The sequence below is a fragment of the Homo sapiens genome, chromosome 11, assembly GCF_000001405.40.
Source record: "Homo sapiens chromosome 11, GRCh38.p14 Primary Assembly".
NCBI classification, from domain to species: domain Eukaryota; kingdom Metazoa; phylum Chordata; class Mammalia; order Primates; family Hominidae; genus Homo; species Homo sapiens.
In genome coordinates this window covers 94,493,157-94,511,317 of record NC_000011.10, presented here as the reverse complement: position 1 = coordinate 94,511,317, position 18,161 = coordinate 94,493,157, and the positions used below count along the sequence as shown (strand labels likewise).

The following is an 18,161-nucleotide window of genomic DNA, read 5'->3' as shown; positions in this document are numbered from 1 at the left end:
GAAGCCTCCGGAAACTTACAATCATGGTGGAAGGCAAAGGAGGAACAGGCAGCTCACATAGCAAAAGCAGGAGATCGCTCTCTCTTTCTTTCTCTCTGTAGAGAGATATCTATCTATATCTATCTATATATATAGAGAGAGAGCGAGAGGCAATTAAAAGGTTGTGTGGAAAGGTTGCGTTCCTTTTTTATATCTCTGTATTTTTGCACTATTTTCTGAGAGATTTTTCTTAACATGAGTTTGAATTTCAAACTGCTCTCCAGTACCCACAGTGTTTCTCCAGGCAGTTCAGGCACTCCTCATTCATTTAATACATATTCATTGAATGACTGCTTTGTGTCAGGAGCTATTATATGTGCTAAGGATGCAGCCATGAACAAAACATACAAAAATCCCTGCCCTTATGTAGTTGAGCTCACATTCTGCCTAAGATTTGATTTGAACAGAGTTGTTGACATGTTTGTACGTGTGTGTATAACTTTTACCTAACATGTTTGGAGTGAATTCATCGCCATTCTCACCCAGCTATGTTACTGCCAACATGCCTTGGCTTTTGCTAAGCCCTTCGGCTATCAGAAGTCCATATGGCTGAAATAATTTGATGGGTGAGTTATGGCAACTCACCATGAGTTCTGATAGGTGAATTATGGCAACTCACCTATCAGAAGTCCAAATGGCAGAAATAATTTCCAAAAAGTTATTCTAAATGACTTATATTCACTATATCCTTACCTAATATGGGTTTATATAATTTGAAAGCAAAAACACCTAGATTTCATTTGATTGACTCATGATGCTATTTTAACATTATGTTCTTAGTTTTTATCAAGAAGCAGTGGGAAAAAAGTCAAATAAGAAATATTTCAGAATTTTAAGTGAAACTATTTTTAAAGATGCTGTTCATTCTGTCAACTGTCATTTGTTAGTTCTCACAGAATAAACTTCTTTAAGATTAGTTTCACCAATATCAGAAATGGTAAATCTATACCTAAAGATCTTACAGGCATTAAAAAGATAGGAAGATATTTTGAATAATTTGATGCTAGTAAATTTGACAACTTAGATAAAATAGAGAAATTACTTAAAAGCTTTCCAAAATAGACACAAGAAGAAATATAGCTTTAATAGAAGTAGTTATAAAAATATAACTACTAAAAATATGGAATTTAAAATTAAAACACATACCACAAAGAAAAAGCCTCACTGGTATCTTCCAAACATTTAAGAATGAAATAACACCAGTTCTGTCTAACCTCTTGCAGGAATTAAAAAAAAATGTTAACACTTCCCAACTCATCTTTATACCAAAATCTGAAAGAACATTACTAAAAAGGAAAATTATAGGTCAATATCTCTCAAGAAGATCAATTCAGATATTAAATAAAATATTAGCAAATATAACCCAAATGTAGCGTGTTAAAAAATGGATAATACATACATCACGATCAAGTTTTGATCATTGCAGGAATGCAAGGTTGTTTAAAATCAATACTGTATAACTTACCACATTAAAAAAATAAAAAAGGAAGAAATTAAACTGTTATTGGCTGTCAACATGGCTGTATACATAGAAAATTCAGGCCAGGCAAGGTGGGTCACGCCTGTAATCCAGCACTTTGGGAGGCTGAGGCGAGTGGATCATGAGGTCAAGGGATCGAGACCATCTGGCCAACATGGTGAAAACCCGTCTCTACTAAAAATACAAAAATTAGCTGGGCGTGGTGGTACGTGCCTGTAGTCCCAGCTACTCCGGAGGCTGAGGCAGGAGAATCACTTGAACCCGGGAGGTAGAGGTTGCAGTGAGCTGAGATCGCATCACTGCACTCCAGCCTGGCAACAGAGCAAGACTCCATCTCAAAAAGAAAAAAAAGAAAATTCAAATGAATGTACAGGTAAGCTATTGGAATTAATAAATTTATCAAGGGCAGTGGACACATGGTCAATAGAGAAAAATAAATGTTACTTTTATATAGTAAAAAAAATTAAAAATGGAATGTAAAAGACAATAACATTTATAACAGCATTGAGAGCCAAAAAAATACATTAAGGATAAATCTTTAAAAAGAGAGAACTCCAACTGAATACTCTAAAACGTTATCAAGAAAAAGTAATACCTAAATAAATGCAGAAATGTATTACAGTATATTCAAGAATTATAACACTGAATATTACAATGATGTTAATTTTCCTCAACTAGATCTAGAAATTTCATGTAATCTCAATATGAATCTCAGCAGGGTTGTTTAAAATAGATGTTGGCAAGGGGATTCTAAAATTAGAAAGTAAATGTAGCACTTTGGCAGGCTGAGGAGGGCGGATCACGAGGTCAAGAGTTTGAGACCAACCTGGCCAACATGGTGAAACCCCGTCTCTACTAAAAATACAAAAATTAACTGGGTGTGGTGGTGCGTGCCTGTAATCCCAGCTACTGGGGAGGCTGAGGCAGGAGAATGGCTTGAATCCAGGAGGCAGAGGTTGCAGTGAGCCGAGATCGTGCCACTGCACTCCAGCCTGGGTGAAAGAGCAAGACTCTGTCTCGAAAAAAAAAAAAAAAGGTAAATGTAGTGGGCCAAGACTGGTCAAAACAACTTTGAAAAATAAGAAAGAAGTTGGAATATCTACACTACCACATAATAAGACTTATGATAAAGCCAAAATATTAAAACTGTGGTATTGGGGCAAAGATAGCTCAATGAAATAAAATAGAATCTAGAAACAGACCCAACTAAATATGATCACCAGATAAATGATAAAAGTGTCACTGCAATGTAGTGTGTGTGTGTTTGTGTGAGGGGCTGTTCCTTTTAATAAGTGGCATTGATAAATTGGATATTAATATAGGAAAATGAACTTTGACTCCTACCGCATGTCAAATGCAAATATCAACTCAAAATAGCACTAAAGGTAAAACACAAAAGCTTCTAGAGTATAACAATGAAAAAAACCTTCATGATGTCTTCCTCATGTCTACCCTTTGGAGTAGACAACTACTTTTTAAACAGGAAACCAAAAGCACTAATCAAAAGAAGGCAATAGATATAGTAGAGGTCGTTAAAATTAAGATATTCTCAGGCCAGATGCTGTAGCTCATGCCTGTAATACCAGCACTTTAGGAGGCTGAGGCGGGAGGATGGCTTGAGCCCAGGAGTCTGAGAACAGCCTGGGGCAATATAGCAAGATTCTCTACAAAAACAAATACATGAATTAGTAGTCCTAGCTACTTGGGAGGCTGAGGCAGGAGAATTGCTTGAGCCGCAGAATTTGAGGCTGCACTGAGCTACGATCACACCAGTGCACTCCAGCCTGGGCAACAGCACAAGACCCTGTCTCTATAAAGTAAATAAATAAATAAAATTAAGATATTCTCTTCATTAAAATCACCAGTAAGAGTGTGAAAAGGCAAGCCACAGACCGAGAGAGCATATATCCAAAAAATAACTAGGATCCAGAATATATAAAGAACTTCTAAAAATAGGAAACGTGCACACATCCCAGAAAGAAAATGGAGAAAGATGAAGCACTTCATGAAAGAGAAGATCCAAGTGGTCAGTCATCACACATAAAAACATTGCTTCACATCATTAGTCACCAGGAATATGCAAATTAAAACTACAATGAGCTATTACTACATGCCCACTAGGAAGGCTATTAAAAAAAAATGAAATGAAAATCAACAAACCTGGCAGTAACAAGAGCCATGGGCGTGTGGAGCAATCGGAACGTTCACTTCTGCTGCTAAGAGTGTAAACTGGTAGAACTACTTTGGAGAACTGTTTTGGCAGTTTTTACTAAAGTGGAATATAAGTATATCCTGTGGCTCAGCAGGCTTTACTAGATATGCACTGAAATGTATAGTATGTACACCAAAACCATGTACTAGAATGTTTATGGCAGCGTTATTCATAAAATCCCCAAAGTGGAAACAATGCAAAATCCCCCCAAAAGTTAACAATATCATGTATATATAAATTATTACATATTCATATAACGGAATACATCAATAAAAAGAACAAAACCCTGCTACATGCAGAAATGGAGAAATCTCATAGATGTAATGTTGAGTGAAATAAACCAAATGCAAAAATATACACAATAAGTTATTACATTTATGTAGGCAAAACTAAATGATGGAAATAAAAGTTAGATTATAGTTACCTTTGAGGGAACACTGAGTGGAAGCACAAAGTAGCTGTTGGAGGTGCTGATTATGTTCTAGATCTTGAGCTGGGTGATAGTTACATAACCCTATTCACTTTGAAGAACTCACCAAGATTTCTGAATTTTACTTTGTGTATGCTATAGTTCTATAAAATTATACAAAAATTAAGAATATTTTATTTAGAAAAAAATGTCTAAAAATATTTTTACTCATAAAAATGTGGTTTATTTGATCAAATTAAAAAATATGCACAAAACAAACATAAAAAAAGGCTGGCACCGTGGCTCACACCTATAATCCCAGCACTTTTGGAGGCCAAGGCAGGAGGATCGCTTGAGGCCAGGAGTTTAAAACCAGCCTGGTCAACATAGCAAGACTCTCTCAATAAAAGAAAAATTAAAAAATTAGCTCGGCGTGGTGGCTTGCACTGTAGTCTTAGCTACACAGGAGGCAGTGGCTGGAGGATCAGTTGAGTCCAGGAGTTCAAGGCTGCAGTGAGTCATGATCGCACCACTGCACTCTAGCCTTGATGACAGAGCAAGACCCTGTCTCAAAAAAAAAAAAACAAAAAAAGCAATTACTGTCTTCCTCTTTTTTCTTCATTACCAAAAACCTTAAAGATAATCTTATCAATTTTAATAACTATATTGACTTAGGTGGTTTATTTCCTTCTTTCTCTTTCTAAATGGCTTTTGATTTTTTTTGTTTCCAATTGTTACATGTGTGTCTTCAATTATATACCAATGCATATTCTCTTGAAAGAAGTTACTGACACAAATAAGTATAAAAGGTACTGTTTTAGGTATGCACTGTGGTTTCCATTTTTCTCTTTTTAACTTTTTTTTAGGTTCAGGGGTACATTTGCTATATAGGAAAATTACATGTTGCAGGAGTTTGCTGTACAAATTATTTCATCACCCAGGTAATAAGCATACTACTTAAAAGTTTTTCAATCCTTACCCAAAAAAAAAACTGAAAATGAACAACAAAAACAGAATGAAAAAAAATCCAGGATGGTTGGGTTATCCTTTTAAAATTTCAATTACAGTCATGTGTCGCTTAATGGTGGGAGTGTGTTTTGAGAAATGTGTTGTTAGGCAATTTCATCGTTGTTCAAATATCAGAATGCACTTACACAAACCTAGGTGGCTAGGTGGCACAGCCTACTACACACTTAGGCTACTTGGTATAGCCTATTGCTCCTAGGCTACAAACCTGTAGAACATGTTACTATACTGTATACTGTAGGCAATTGTAACACAAGGGAAATATTTGTGTATCTTAAGAAATTTAAACATAGAGACGGTACGGTAAAAATATGGTATAGTTGACTTTAAAAGGTACACCTGTAGAGTGTGTACTTCATGAATGGAGCTTGAAGGACTTGGTGTTGCTCTGAGTGAGTCAGTGAGTGAGTGGTGGGCAAATGTGATGGCCTAAGACATTACCAAACGCTACTATAGACTTTATCAACACTGTTCACTTAGGCTGCACTAAATTTATGCAAACATATTTTTCTTTCTTCAATAATAAATTACCTTTAGCTTACTGTCCTTTTTTTACTTTATAAACTTAATTTTTAAAAACATTTTAAATCTTGTAATAACACTTAGTTTAAAATGCAAACACCTTGTACAGCTATGCAAAAGTATTTTTATAGCCTCATTCTATGAGCTTTTTTTGTATTTTCAATATGCATTATTTATATATTTTTAAATTTTAAACTTTTTTGTTAAAAACAAAGACATAAACACATACTTAGTCAAGGCCAAAATAGGGTCATCACGATCACTGTCTTCCCCCTCCACATCTTGTCCTGCTGGGAGGTGTTCAGGGGCAATAACATTATGGAGTTATTCCTATGTCATCTCCTATGATAATGCCTTCTTCTGGAATACTCCCTGAAGGACCTGCCTGAAACTGTTATACAGTTCACTTTTTTTAATAAGTAGAAGAACACCCTAAAATAATGACAGGAAGTATATTATAGTAAATACATAAACCAGTAACATAGTTGTTTATTATCATTATCCAGTGTTGTGTACTGTACGTAGTTGTATGTAAACATGACTGGCAGTGCAGTAGGTTTGTTTACATTTAGCATCACCTTGAACATGTGAGTAATGTGTTGTGCTATGACATTATGTCAGCTACCACATCACTGGGTGATAGGAAATTTTAGCTCCATTATAATCTTATGAGATCACTGTCAGTATAGGCGATACATCATTTACCCAAGCCTGACTGTAAATGGAAAAGACCAACATGACCACTAGATGGAGACAAAACCCAAGACTAAAGTTTTCTTATAAAAAGTTACACATTCGTGTAAAAAATGAAGTCTTTATCAAAGAAATAAAAAGTTTTAATATATTACCAGAGTAAATAAGTTACTTCATATTACTTGTGTTTAATTCTATAGATCTAAAACAGGTCTCAAGAAATCATCTCAGTTTGTCTTATAGCAAAACTGAATGAACAATGGGATGTTGAATGCTATCGTTTTTCTTCGGAAAAGTAGATGCTAAAACCACTTTGGTATCCTCTTGTAGGTTCTAACAGTCCTGATTTAAATTAAAAGCCAACCAAATCCTTCTTATATAGTAACTAACCATCTTTTCAAATTTCTTGAATCCTGCCAAATGGACTAATTATTTTAAAGCAATTATTTTGTTTCCCATTCTGTCATTTAATGGAGAAATTGGTCCTTCTGATTATAAAGGTTGTGTTACTTGGAATTTTAAAATTCCAGTGAATTGGTGAAACATATTTTTTTAAATAACAGGCCCCCCTGAAGATATATCCCTAGAATTTGAGGATGAGGTCATCTTATGCTTGCCATGGAAAATAATAAAAGAATAAAATTAGTCATATCTGGATATCTATTTTTAAAAATCGACTTCATAAAAATATAACTTATGTACAAAAACCCTGCATTACTCTTTAAAACCCAGTGACTTTTGACAGTTGTGTACACCTGCAAAATCATTACCACGATCAAGCTACGGCATATTTCCATCACCTCCAAAAGGTTCTCCCTGCCCTTTTGTAGTCCAACCTCTGTCCCCGTGACCAAGAAACCACTGAACTGCTTTCTGCCTATAAATGAGTTCATGTTTTTTCCAAGAAGATATTCAGTTGTTCCAGCACCATTTGTTTAAGAGAATGTCCCACTGAATTCCTTGGCACCTTTGTCAAAAATTAATTATCTATATCTGGATTTATTTCTAGACTCTGTTCTGTTCTATGGATCCACATGTCCATCCACCAATACTACACTGTCTCAATACTGTTGTTTTATAGCTAGTCTTTTTTTTTTTTTTTTTTTTTTTGAGACGGAGTCTCGCTCTGTCGCCCAGGCTGGAGTGCAGTGGCGGGATCTCGGCTCACTGCAAGTATAGCTAGTCTTAAAATTAGGTTATAAAAATCCCGATTTTAACGTTTTCTTTCTTTTTTTTTTTTTGACACGGAGTCTCACTCTGTTGCCTAGGCTGGAGTGCAGTGGCGCGATCTTGGCTCACTGCAGCCTCCGCCTCCTGGTTTCAAGCAAAAGCAATTCTCCTGCCTCAGCCTCCCGAGTAGCTAGGACTACAGGGGTGTGCCACCATGCCCAGCTAATTTTTTTGTATTTTTAGTAGAGACAGGGTTTCACCATGTTGGCCAGGATGGTCTTGATCTCTTGATCTTGTGATCTGCCCACCTTGGCCTCCCAAAATGTTGGATGGTGTGAGCCACCGTGTTTTCTTTTTAAATATTGCTTTGGCTCTTATGATTTTCAACTACTAGGATTTTTGCTTATCTATGTTCGTGTGCCATAAAATGCAATTCTCTCCTTATTGCATGAGTTCTCTTACATGAGGTGTCTAAAATAGTCATGCTCCTAGAAACAGAGAGTAGAATGGTGGCTGCCAGGATCTGGGGCAAGGGTAAACGGGAAGTAGTTATTCAATGAGTATAAAGTTTTAGTTATACGAGATGAATAATTTCTAGAGATCTGCTGTACAATCTAGAATCTCTGCAGTTCTAGAGATCTACAAGCGTTGTGCCTATAGATAAAAAAAATACTATGAACTAAAGTTTTAACAGGGCAGATCTCATGTTAAGTGTTCTTCACACAATAACAAGAAATTTGCACATAAGTATGGAATCTTACATGGAAGGGGAATATAATTAATAGATTTAGTGGCCAAGCATGGTGGCTCAAGTCTGTAATCCCAGCACTTTGGGAGGTCGAGACCAGCAGATTACTTGAGGCCAGGAGTTTGAGACCAGCCTGGCCAACATAGTGAAACCCAGTCTCTACTAAAAACATAAAAAATTAGCTGGGCATGGTAGCGCACGCCTGTAATCCCAACTACTTGGGAGGCTGAGGCATGAGAATCACTGGAACCTGGGAGGCAGAGGTTGCAGTGAGCTGAGATCATGCCAGTGCACTCTAGCCTGGACAACAGTGAGAGTCTGTCTCAAAAAGAAAAAAAACAAAAATTGAAAAATAAATAAATAAATTTAGTTATAGCCTATGTACAACATATACTTCATATGTGGATAAATGGCAAGCATATTTAAAAGTAGATACAAGTAACCAAATTCAAAAAATATAAACTGCAGCTTTAAAAGCAAATGCAGTTGCTTGTGCTCCTGATAGTAATTGTTATGTCCTCAAACCCTACTATAAATAAACTACATAAAAATAATATTAAAGAAAATGGAATTTTGGTTATTATGATAGACAAACTGGTGGTATACAGATAATATTCAAAAACACCACAGGTAAAAAGCTGTGACATTTGAACATGAGCTTTCTGGGAACTTAAGAAGATACACTAAACATGCACCAAATGATGCATTCTTTAATCAACTTTACAAATACATATCAAATACTAGTGTATGGTGAAGAGGAAAGGTGGTAGAATCAGATAGACAAACCTCCATCATGCGCACATGGCATGACAATGGGCAATCCGTGTAAGTTCTATAAACCTGATTTCCTTTTATACAATGATTATCTCAGAGAGTTGTTGTGAGGCTCACATGGTATCACACACGTGAAGCACATACAGCATAGTTGGCCCACAGTGAGCACTCAGTTGTTAGCTATTAATATTGTCACAGAGGTTTGGTGTACCACATCTTATATATATATAAGAACTTTCATGAAGATCAGATGAGACTATTTCATTCATAAAAGATGACTGGAGGACATTGATAAACACATAGCTTTTTAAAAAAACAATATGATTTCGATGTATTTCATATTGATATTTATTTTTAAAGTATTAAAGAAATTGACAAAATAAATAACACCATATGATTTTTACATTTAAATAACAAACTAGCCTACAACAAGATAGATATTATCCCTGATTTACCTATGAGAAAACCGAGGGGTTTTTTTTTTTGCCCAAAGTGACCCACAGGTGGCACTGAGGATTTGAACTCAGTTTGTCTCACTCAGAGTTTAATGCTCTGTGTAACCATCCTTCTGTGCCTCCAGGGAATGATTTCAGGCATGTAGATCTGTGCTTTCAATGGAGTAGCCATTAGACAAACATAGCTGAGAACTTGAAATGTGACTAAATCCAGATGTGCTGTAAAATACACCCTGTATTTTGAAGACTTACTGCAAAAAAAAGTAAAACATCTCAAAAAATTTTAAATATATATCTCATATTTTGGATGTATTGTCATATATATATAAAATTAATTTCACCTGTTTTTAATATGGCTCTTACGATTTTCAACTGCTAGGATTTTTGCTTATCTATGTTTGTGTGCCATAAAATGCAATTCTGTCCTTATTGCATGAGTCCTCTTATATGAGGTATCTAAAATAGTCATGCTAAAAACATAAAATTACATGAGGCCCATGTTTCTATGTGTTGGCACTGATTTAGATCATTTCCACTTAGGTTCTGAGAAGTAAAATTTTGGAGTTTCCAAGGGAAATTTCCAGGAATTTAAAACATCAATCAGCTACACTTAATCCTTCTTGGTTTACTCTCTTCTGAACTTAATAAAGATAGACCTTAAATATCCTTTAGAGAAAGCATTTCATATTGAACAAATTGAGTGGTCATCTAGTAATCCTACAGATGGACTGGAGCATCTTATGATAAACTAATTATAGCAAAGACATAATGATTTGGTGATATTATTTTGTAGGCAGTTGCATAAATTCCTAGAGCCATTGCAGGTAGGGTGAAGATGGTGTATGTGTTGATCAGGAATCAAGAGTTGATCCAGAGATTTCATTTTGGTATGGGACATAAATCTCAGTATAGTCTCTGGGCTTCTTCTGATCATGATTTTCCAGCATAGTGTTAGATAACATAATAGATGTCAAATAATACAAATAAATGTCTTCAGATTGTAGTATAAAGACTCTAAATCCCACCACTGTGGTAGGCTGTGGGTTGGAAGGCTCCCTGGAAAAGCATATTTAAGATTCATAAAAGCAAAGGCAACTAGTTCCACTTTAGGCCTAAGAATGACGCTATGAATCTTGAACAGTCACAAAAATTACCTCTTCCTCAAGCATATGTTAATCAAAATTAAACCCTTAGTTATGAAAAACTCAGATTTTATTTTTTAATAAGTCTTTGTATAGACTTTCCAAGATTAGAGAAAATTCTGTTTGTAAACTGAGCTATTTAGCCGGCCTAAACTGGAAAGTAGAAGTAATCCTTTCAAAGCACGATTAGTGACTGCCTTCTGTGCACAGAGCAGTCTAGTGAATGCTCTGGAAAGTATAAAGGAAGCAGACAATACAAATTCTGCCCTCAGGGGTGGGATTTGTCTTATGTGTAGAGTTTGCTCTCTAGCATCAGTGAGTGAGTGTTGAGGTCTGAAAACAAGGGAATAGACACATCTTAGGTCCTTATTGGAAACAAGACTTCTTTGGCTCCATACTTTAATGGAAAGTTTACATGGAATCATGGGTACAATCCATTCTCAAGTGAGAAAGGAGCCATCAGCTCTGTGACTTTCAGGCTAAGCAACCTCATTCAGCAGTCTGCTTGGATAAATAAGGTCTTATTCTATCATCACTGCCTGTCAGCTGTATCTGTCATTTGGTGCCACTAACTTAGGCCAGATTAAACAGAAAGCAACCTCTGCCACAAAGCATCTCCCTAGGAAGAGATCACAACATAAACTAAAGCACTAACTCTCAAGATCCTGTTGTCACGATGATTCAGTTCATATATTATCTCTGACTTTTCTGAGATGATCTAATAAGTTCTAAGCAAAAATAAATATTTAATCTTTGATTAAATAACATTATTACTTAGTCTAGGGTGACTGGGTTACGTAGGATGGCTTGAAAGAGATAAGCCTTGGTGGACATCTTAAAAATTTAACTGAAGTAAAGAGCAACTGGTTTAGTTCCCTTCCCCTGGAGTGTTGTGGTGTTGAGAAGACAAAACTTTGGGAACAATCACAGGGGGGCTAGATAGACAATGCAAAATTGCTGCTGGAGAGACTGAGTGAGTAGATGTTAAATAACTAAGTGCGTGCTGGATGAATAATGTTCTGGATCCAAGAAAGACATACACAGGTAAAAAATGAATTCATGCCTTTTGTGTTGTTCAAAACTTGTACTTTATTTTTCTCAAATATTTTTACTTATGCTTTTTGTCATTATCCACAGTGTTTTTTTTTTAAAGCCTGAGCCACTTTGTGGTTTTAGCCTCAATATAATAATCATCCCCTTACTCTTAGACTAATTCCTTTTCCCCTGTCACTTTGCCTGTATACTCTGTAAAAATGAGGACCTTAGAAAATCAACATTTCCTGTGAACTTGAGAGACTATACAAGCAGTGCCCAAATCAGTAGGATTAGGCAGGTAAAACCAGTTGGATAGCAGATATATTATGATCTGTTGGACAAAGGTATAGTTGTGTGCATGTCTACAAGGTCATCGTGATTCGCCATTAGCTTAAGGATCATGTAGGTTGACCAGGGTGAGGTAGGACTATCCACAGGATTGTGTAAATTGTGGTAGGGGATGCAGTATACAATATTCATGAATTAAACACTTAGCTAACTGCTTTCCTGAAAATGGTCTGTGTTCTAAAAGACAAAGATCTAGGTTTTTTGCTGTTTTTTACTTTAACTTATGAAGATTCAAGTCACTAATATGTTACTTGCTCTGGTTTAAAATGAAAGCAACTGGCTATGGTAAGGTAGAGAAGACAGCTGAATTGTATCAGAATATTTAAGACTTTTAAATTAAGTTCTGAGTTACCTCACCTTATAAAAATATATGTCAATATACTAAATACCCAACAAAGATCCAGGATGTGGGATATTTAAAAATACATTTCTCTTGTATCAGCACCAAAAATACCAGTTTCTGTACAACCCGTGTCAAGTTTTTAAGTATACACACATTAAAATTATTTCTGATAAAAAAATCACAAACTCCACAGAAATAATTAAAGATATATGCAAATTACTTTCAAATACATTTTGACATCAAAGTCAGGCAATTCACTTGGAAGAATGTTATAATGAATGTCACTGAATTTTTGTAGTAAGATGTTTGACGTCAACTTTGATTATGGGAATACATCTCACACACAGGAGGCACTGGTATTTAGAAACTTAGGAAAATTACTAGAATTGTTAAGACTGAGGTGAAGAATTTGTACAGCCTTCCACAATTTCAAAGAGGTAGTGATAGATACTTGTCCTCCTGGCAATATCAAATGCAGTTTCTTCCAAGTTGTTTTTCAGCCCTGGTTTGACGTAACGGTTCATCAGGAGGAGTTCTAGGGTATCCTTGCTGTCTCTGTTCCCAGCAGCAAGATGCAAGGGGGTCAAGAGGCCTTTTGTTTGGGCATTGATATCTGCATCATGCTGCAGTAAGAAAGAAGCCACTCTGGTATTATTCCACTTACAAGCACTGTGCAGGGGCGTCCAGCCATCCACAGTCACTGCATGAACATCGGCCCCCTGTGCAATGAGCTCCTGAACAATATCTAAGTGTCCACTGTAGGCTGCTCGATGAAGAGGGGTATACTCATCTTCATCCCTAGTGTTCACGTGAGTGGCCTTTTCAGAAAGGAGTCTCCGCACTGTGGTAAGCTGAGAAGAAAAAAAAGAAATCTTTCAACTCAACTCAAACCAAAACAATAACTAAAACAAAATTGTCTTGTGGTGTTAGATTTAATTAAGTTGAATAAAAACTTACTTGTTAGTAGATGACTTTAAAATGAAAATAATTTAAGATCTCTTTTTGGGGAGGAGAGGACTACTGATTTAAGAATGAACAAGTTAGTGTTAACTACACTTTGTTGCTTCTAAGAATGAGATTCTCTGAATATCAAACCATACATTTACTCCTGGTCCAACTAAGGTTTATTGCATAAAAGCTTCAGTCCAATGAATAACATAGGCTTTCTGTTTAATATTTTATGTGTTATCTGTGAAGAAAACATAACTGCTTGATTTTTCTGTAGGATTATCACACCAATATACACACTGTATGAAACTTTTAAAAATAAAACTTTTAACAGAAGAATAAAGTATTAATAAGGAATTCTAGGGATTCAAGAGCTCAATTCCTTCTCAATACAACCTTAGAAACAACCTTTTAGGTTGTAATTTTCAGTTTGTTCTATGGGCCTCTGGTTAAATGTGGCATGCTCTTGGGTTAAAAAGCTATTTAAAATGCGAGACCCTTTTAGTTATTAGTTTACTAACACAGACATGGGGAAACTTAGTAAAATGAGGTGGAAGTGGCCAAGCAGAGGGAATAGGCTTTTGATGTTCATTCCACTTCGATGATCCTGGGCAAATTAATATTCCTGAATCTCAATTTCTTACTCTATAAAAGAGAAGAATATTACTTATAGGGATACATGATGATTAAATAAAATAATGTAATAAGGTACCTGGTATAGTTAGTTTTTAATAAATGTTAGTTTCCATCCTCTCTTTCCTAAATGATCCTAATGACTTTATATAAATGATTTTAAAATATAGATGATTGCTTGCTATCTTTATAGATAATTATCCTTAAACCCCCAAATAATACCTAGCATGACACTTTGCAGCTTAATATGTGCTTTCATGTACATTGTCTCATTTGGTCCTCACAATCAAGAGATAGGTATGATGGCCATAACAGTAAAGGCAGGTCTTCTGGCTTGAACCCAGTGCTTTTCCTACTGTCACACTTCCCTCTGTAATTTTTTTTTTTACCCGATTTTTTTCAGCAGCCCAAAGAAGCAATCTGCTTGGGTCTTTTTCCATTTTTTTTTCTTGCAATCGATACCACTCTTCATTTTTGTCATCTTGCTCCTCATCTTCATCAGAATTGCCTACCCAAAGACTTTGAGTACCAGTAGGAATAAGGTGTCCATGTGTTTCCAACAATTCAAGTTGGTTAAAGTGTTCAGAAAAATCCAAGGAATTCTCTTGGTCTGGTATTCCATCATCATTTCCTTTTTCTTTTTCCATTTTTTACTACTATTCTAAATAAAAAGCATTTCAAATGCCAGGATATAAATCTTTCTAGAGATGAATTATGACTGCTTTGTTCATCAAGATCTGAAAACACAAATACAAAAGTTATTAGTAAAACAATAATTCAGGCTTTATCAACTGCATAGATAAGTCTTGCAAACATATACAATTAAACCCTGTCTAAACTCTTGTTTTTCTCATGATATCCCTTACATACACTAAATACTGATGCTGACAGAAAACAACAAACTATGATCTAATAGTGGTCTAATGCTTCTTACTTTTGTTGTTTTCTTCTAAGTCAATTATATTATTATAACTATTATTTTTAATCTACTGGTTTAGGTATGATGGTGTTATGCTAACAGTGATGAATGCTTAAAGGTTTTGAAGTATAACTAATACAATGAAGACAGGTGCATTCAAGATTTTTATAAACTAGACACACAGATAATATAGAGCAGAAATAAAAACTTCTAATTCCTAAAAATACTATTTCGAAGAATCAGGGATTCTTGAAGATGGAATAGCCCCCAAAAGGACATCTGTTCCAATCTGTCATCGGTACATATATCTTTATCACAGCATCTACACTAATTATCCTATTTCTACTTTGATAATTTCAGGCCTAGGAAAATTCACTGCTTTAAAAAGTAGTCCTGTTTATTGATAGGCAACTATAGTTCTTAGTTGGGTCCTTGTTTTCAACTGAATTTTGGCTGTCATTCATTCCTTCATTCAACTAATATGAATAGAATGTCTGGTATGTGCCAACTTCTGGGTACTGGGATTCAATAATGAGCAAGATCCATGTCTTCACCTCAGGAAGCTTACTCTAGTGTAGGTGACTGGCAAAGACATCATGTGTCTGGCAAAGACAACATGATAAGTACTACTACAAGACCTTGTCTAGAAACCATGAGTATACAGGAGGTTCATAATTCCCCTAGTCCTAAGGGATTAAAGAAGGCTTCCTGAAGGAACTGATGTTTATTCTGCTAAGCTGCCATATTAATTTTTAAACCAATATCAGCTTAAAGGGTTACACAACATATAAACCTTAATCAATTAAAGAAAAGGAGAATAACCAATAGATAATTTACAAATACGAATTCCCAGCCTCTCAACTCTATTTGTTGAAATATAATCAGTCTTTCAAGGCTCTTCTCTGATGTTATCTCTTTCATTCTTTCTTGATCCTCTCATTTAGATCGCTTTCTGCTTTCTACTTTTTTTGGTGCTACATTTCACCTCTAACTTTGTTCTTGTTTTAGCCCCTTAAAAGATTATAAGCTGAAAGATAAGGACCACATTTAACTTATATTTATCTCCTACTTGTCTATAGAAGGCATTAAGAAGTATGTGTAGCATTACATTTAATTAAAGTCTTGTCACTTGATTTTGCCTGGAATGGATTCTGAGAAGTTCCAGAGTTAGGCATAACCCCAAGATACTGATTTCTTGATACCTAATCTCACAAGTTTAACAGTATACAATCTTAATGTGGTATTAAACTTTATTACTAGTGGCAATAGCACTAAACTCAAGTTTAAATGTATTACTCATGTCCAGTAACTTTTCTGGTCCTGTTACTTTATTGTAAAATGTAAGAATTTTACTAAAGTATTCCTAAGGCCAATCCGGCTTTTCAGTCACCCAATCAGAGACACCCTTGGAATCAGAGATATCCAATCAGAATTGCTCTGTGTTTTATTAATTCTCCTGGAGCTTCCACTTTTTCTTTGATTCTCAAACTAATTCCTGAACCTTGCAACACAAAAATGACCATACATCAATTCATTAAACACTTAACAGATGCTAATAAATAAAAGTTCACTTGTAATTATATCAAATATAGTAACCTTATACCACAGATCTTACCCTCTCCCCCAACATGCTTTTCCTTTCAATAAAAACTCCCTTTATATAAATTTTGAGTTTACAGATCCAGATACAAAAAATTATGTACAAAATTTTACTGGTATATTTAGTTTAAAAAGCCAAGCCTAGGCGCATCTACCCGACTTACAGTTAAGAAACAAAACTGATGACTTGATGATGATATTCCTGATATTCCATCAGGAATGTCAGGGTATGTTTCCTAACTTAAAGGGCATATCCTATTTTGAGAGAGATCCGAACTATGTCAACTCCTTACAAACAACTCAGTGATAGGCGGGGCTATAAACCTTACTGGTGAAGGAGGTTCAGATAGATTAAAACAACTTGCCCTAGATCAAGGACCCTTCAATGGAACTGAAAGGGCAGACGTTCTAATTCAAAAGTTCTACATTATTTTTCGCTGCACTATACATCTTACTGCTCTCAGCACAAAGCAGTGCAGATGTGCTGAACTCAAGGACCTAGGGGCGACACCTGTAGAGGGTCTGGCGACTGGGAGGGAGGGAGAGGGGATCCAGCTCCGGCACTCTGCCACCAGCCGGGAGCTCACAGGCCCGTGAGCTCCGCCTGCGGCCTTCCAAACAGCCAAGAGCGGAGAAGCGGCTTCGGTCCTACCTGGGGACCACGAAGCGGCCTGACCTGCAGGGCTCGGCCTGTGTCCACAGGCTACCCACCCCCACGGGCTCAGGAGTTCTTAGATGGCGCCGGTCCATCAAAAAGCGAGGTCCGGGACAGGGAATAACAACCCACCTGACAGAAGGGAAAATCGCCGCCTTGCATCTCACTTCCGGGTTCGTCTCCTAGCCTGCTCAGGATTGGCTCCTGCGTGAGGGCGGGGCCTCGCCGCTACTTTCCCCGCCCCCTCACTGCGTGCGGTAGCCAATGAGAGCCGAACTGGACTTGAAGCATCTACGTTATCCATGAAGTGTCGCGAGAGAAACGGACGCCGTTCTCTCCCGCGGAATTCAGGTTTACGGCCCTGCGGGTTCTCAGAGGCAAGTTCAGACCGTGTTGTTTTCTTTTCACGGATCCTGCCCTTTCTTCCCGAAAAGAAGACAGCCTTGGGTCGCGATTGTGGGGCTTCGAAGAGTCCAGCAGTGGGGTAATTTAGGAATCGCATTCGTCTCCTGTTTCTGCAGGTTCCCAGGCGGAAGCCCAGAGTTAACTGGAACCTCGGGAAGAGCGGGCCGAGTGGGCAGGGGAGGGGTCCTGGCGGGCTCAGCGTTCTGATTCCGAGGTTCCCTGCGGTGAGGGCGTGTTGAGGCTTGGAATCCCGACGGAATCTGGAGCTCCAGATGTGGTGGGGGTTGTCTCGCGGTGGCAGCCACTCTTCCCCAAACCTGGCTATTTTCAGTCATCCTGCTGGTGCTTAAAGGTGTTCCTCCGCAGACCACGTGTTTGTTTATTTACACTCGCTTTAAACGCGGGCCCGTTCCCTTTTCCAAACTAGCCAGGTCCTTTAAAAAAAATCGTGGGGTTTGAATAGGAAATACAGGATTGCCTCTGTTCTCCAGAGTAACCTATGCGTGCAACTTAAAAATATCTGCACATCTAGAGTTGTTTGTGTGTTGAACCAGAACCGTATGTGACCCTTTCTGCCCATTTATTTAGCATACATTAATTTCCCAT

General features: G+C 36.8%; 2 protein-coding genes across 38 annotated transcripts in view, besides 1 other annotated feature; one reads left to right on the top strand and one right to left on the bottom strand.

Annotated features, from left to right (window-relative positions):
- The window catches only part of MRE11 (MRE11 double strand break repair nuclease), a 96,843-nt gene that overhangs the window by 1,095 nt on the left and 77,587 nt on the right, over positions 1–18,161 (top strand). For 18 of the 36 annotated variants that reach the window (XR_007062484.1, XR_007062482.1, NM_001440487.1 and 15 more), the window contains exon 1: positions 17,474–17,527. The exons of 1 other annotated variant lie outside the window; for it this stretch is intronic. The gene's annotated coding sequence lies outside the window, so the exon portion shown is untranslated. Of the gene's footprint in view, positions 1–17,473; positions 17,635–18,161 lie in introns of those variants that run through there. 17 more of the 36 variants (XR_007062483.1, XR_947828.3, NM_001440486.1 and 14 more) reach the window with 1 other exon arrangement.
- On the bottom strand, positions 11,740–17,334 carry ANKRD49 (ankyrin repeat domain 49). 2 transcript variants are annotated; one of them, XM_017017941.2, is made up of 3 exons: positions 17,148–17,334; positions 14,367–14,714; positions 11,740–13,247 (listed from the first exon to the last, which is right to left on the bottom strand). In XM_017017941.2, exons 2-3 carry the CDS (start codon positions 14,622–14,624, stop codon positions 12,786–12,788), a joined length of 720 nt encoding a protein of 239 aa, XP_016873430.1. In that variant the 5' UTR covers positions 14,625–14,714; positions 17,148–17,334; the 3' UTR covers positions 11,740–12,785. The 2 variants fall into 2 exon arrangements, with proteins under 2 accessions (XP_016873430.1, NP_060174.2); NM_017704.3 differs by having other exon boundaries at positions 17,283–17,334.
- Positions 17,035–17,124: an enhancer, noted in NCBI's record as "active region_5403". NCBI's record gives its function as "activates an Ori minimal core promoter by ATAC-STARR-seq in GM12878 lymphoblastoid cells {active_cell/tissue: GM12878}" and the evidence as "EXISTENCE:reporter gene assay evidence [ECO:0000049][PMID:35858748]".

Coding starts and splice junctions, on each gene's coding strand:
- ANKRD49 (XM_017017941.2), bottom strand. CDS start 14,624: ATGGAAAAAGAAAAAGGAAATGATGATGGAATACCAGACCAAGAGAAT. Junction 13,248..14,366: donor GGGCTGCTGAAAAAAATCGG/GTAAAAAAAAAA, acceptor TTTTCTTCTCAG/CTTACCACAGTGCGGAGACT.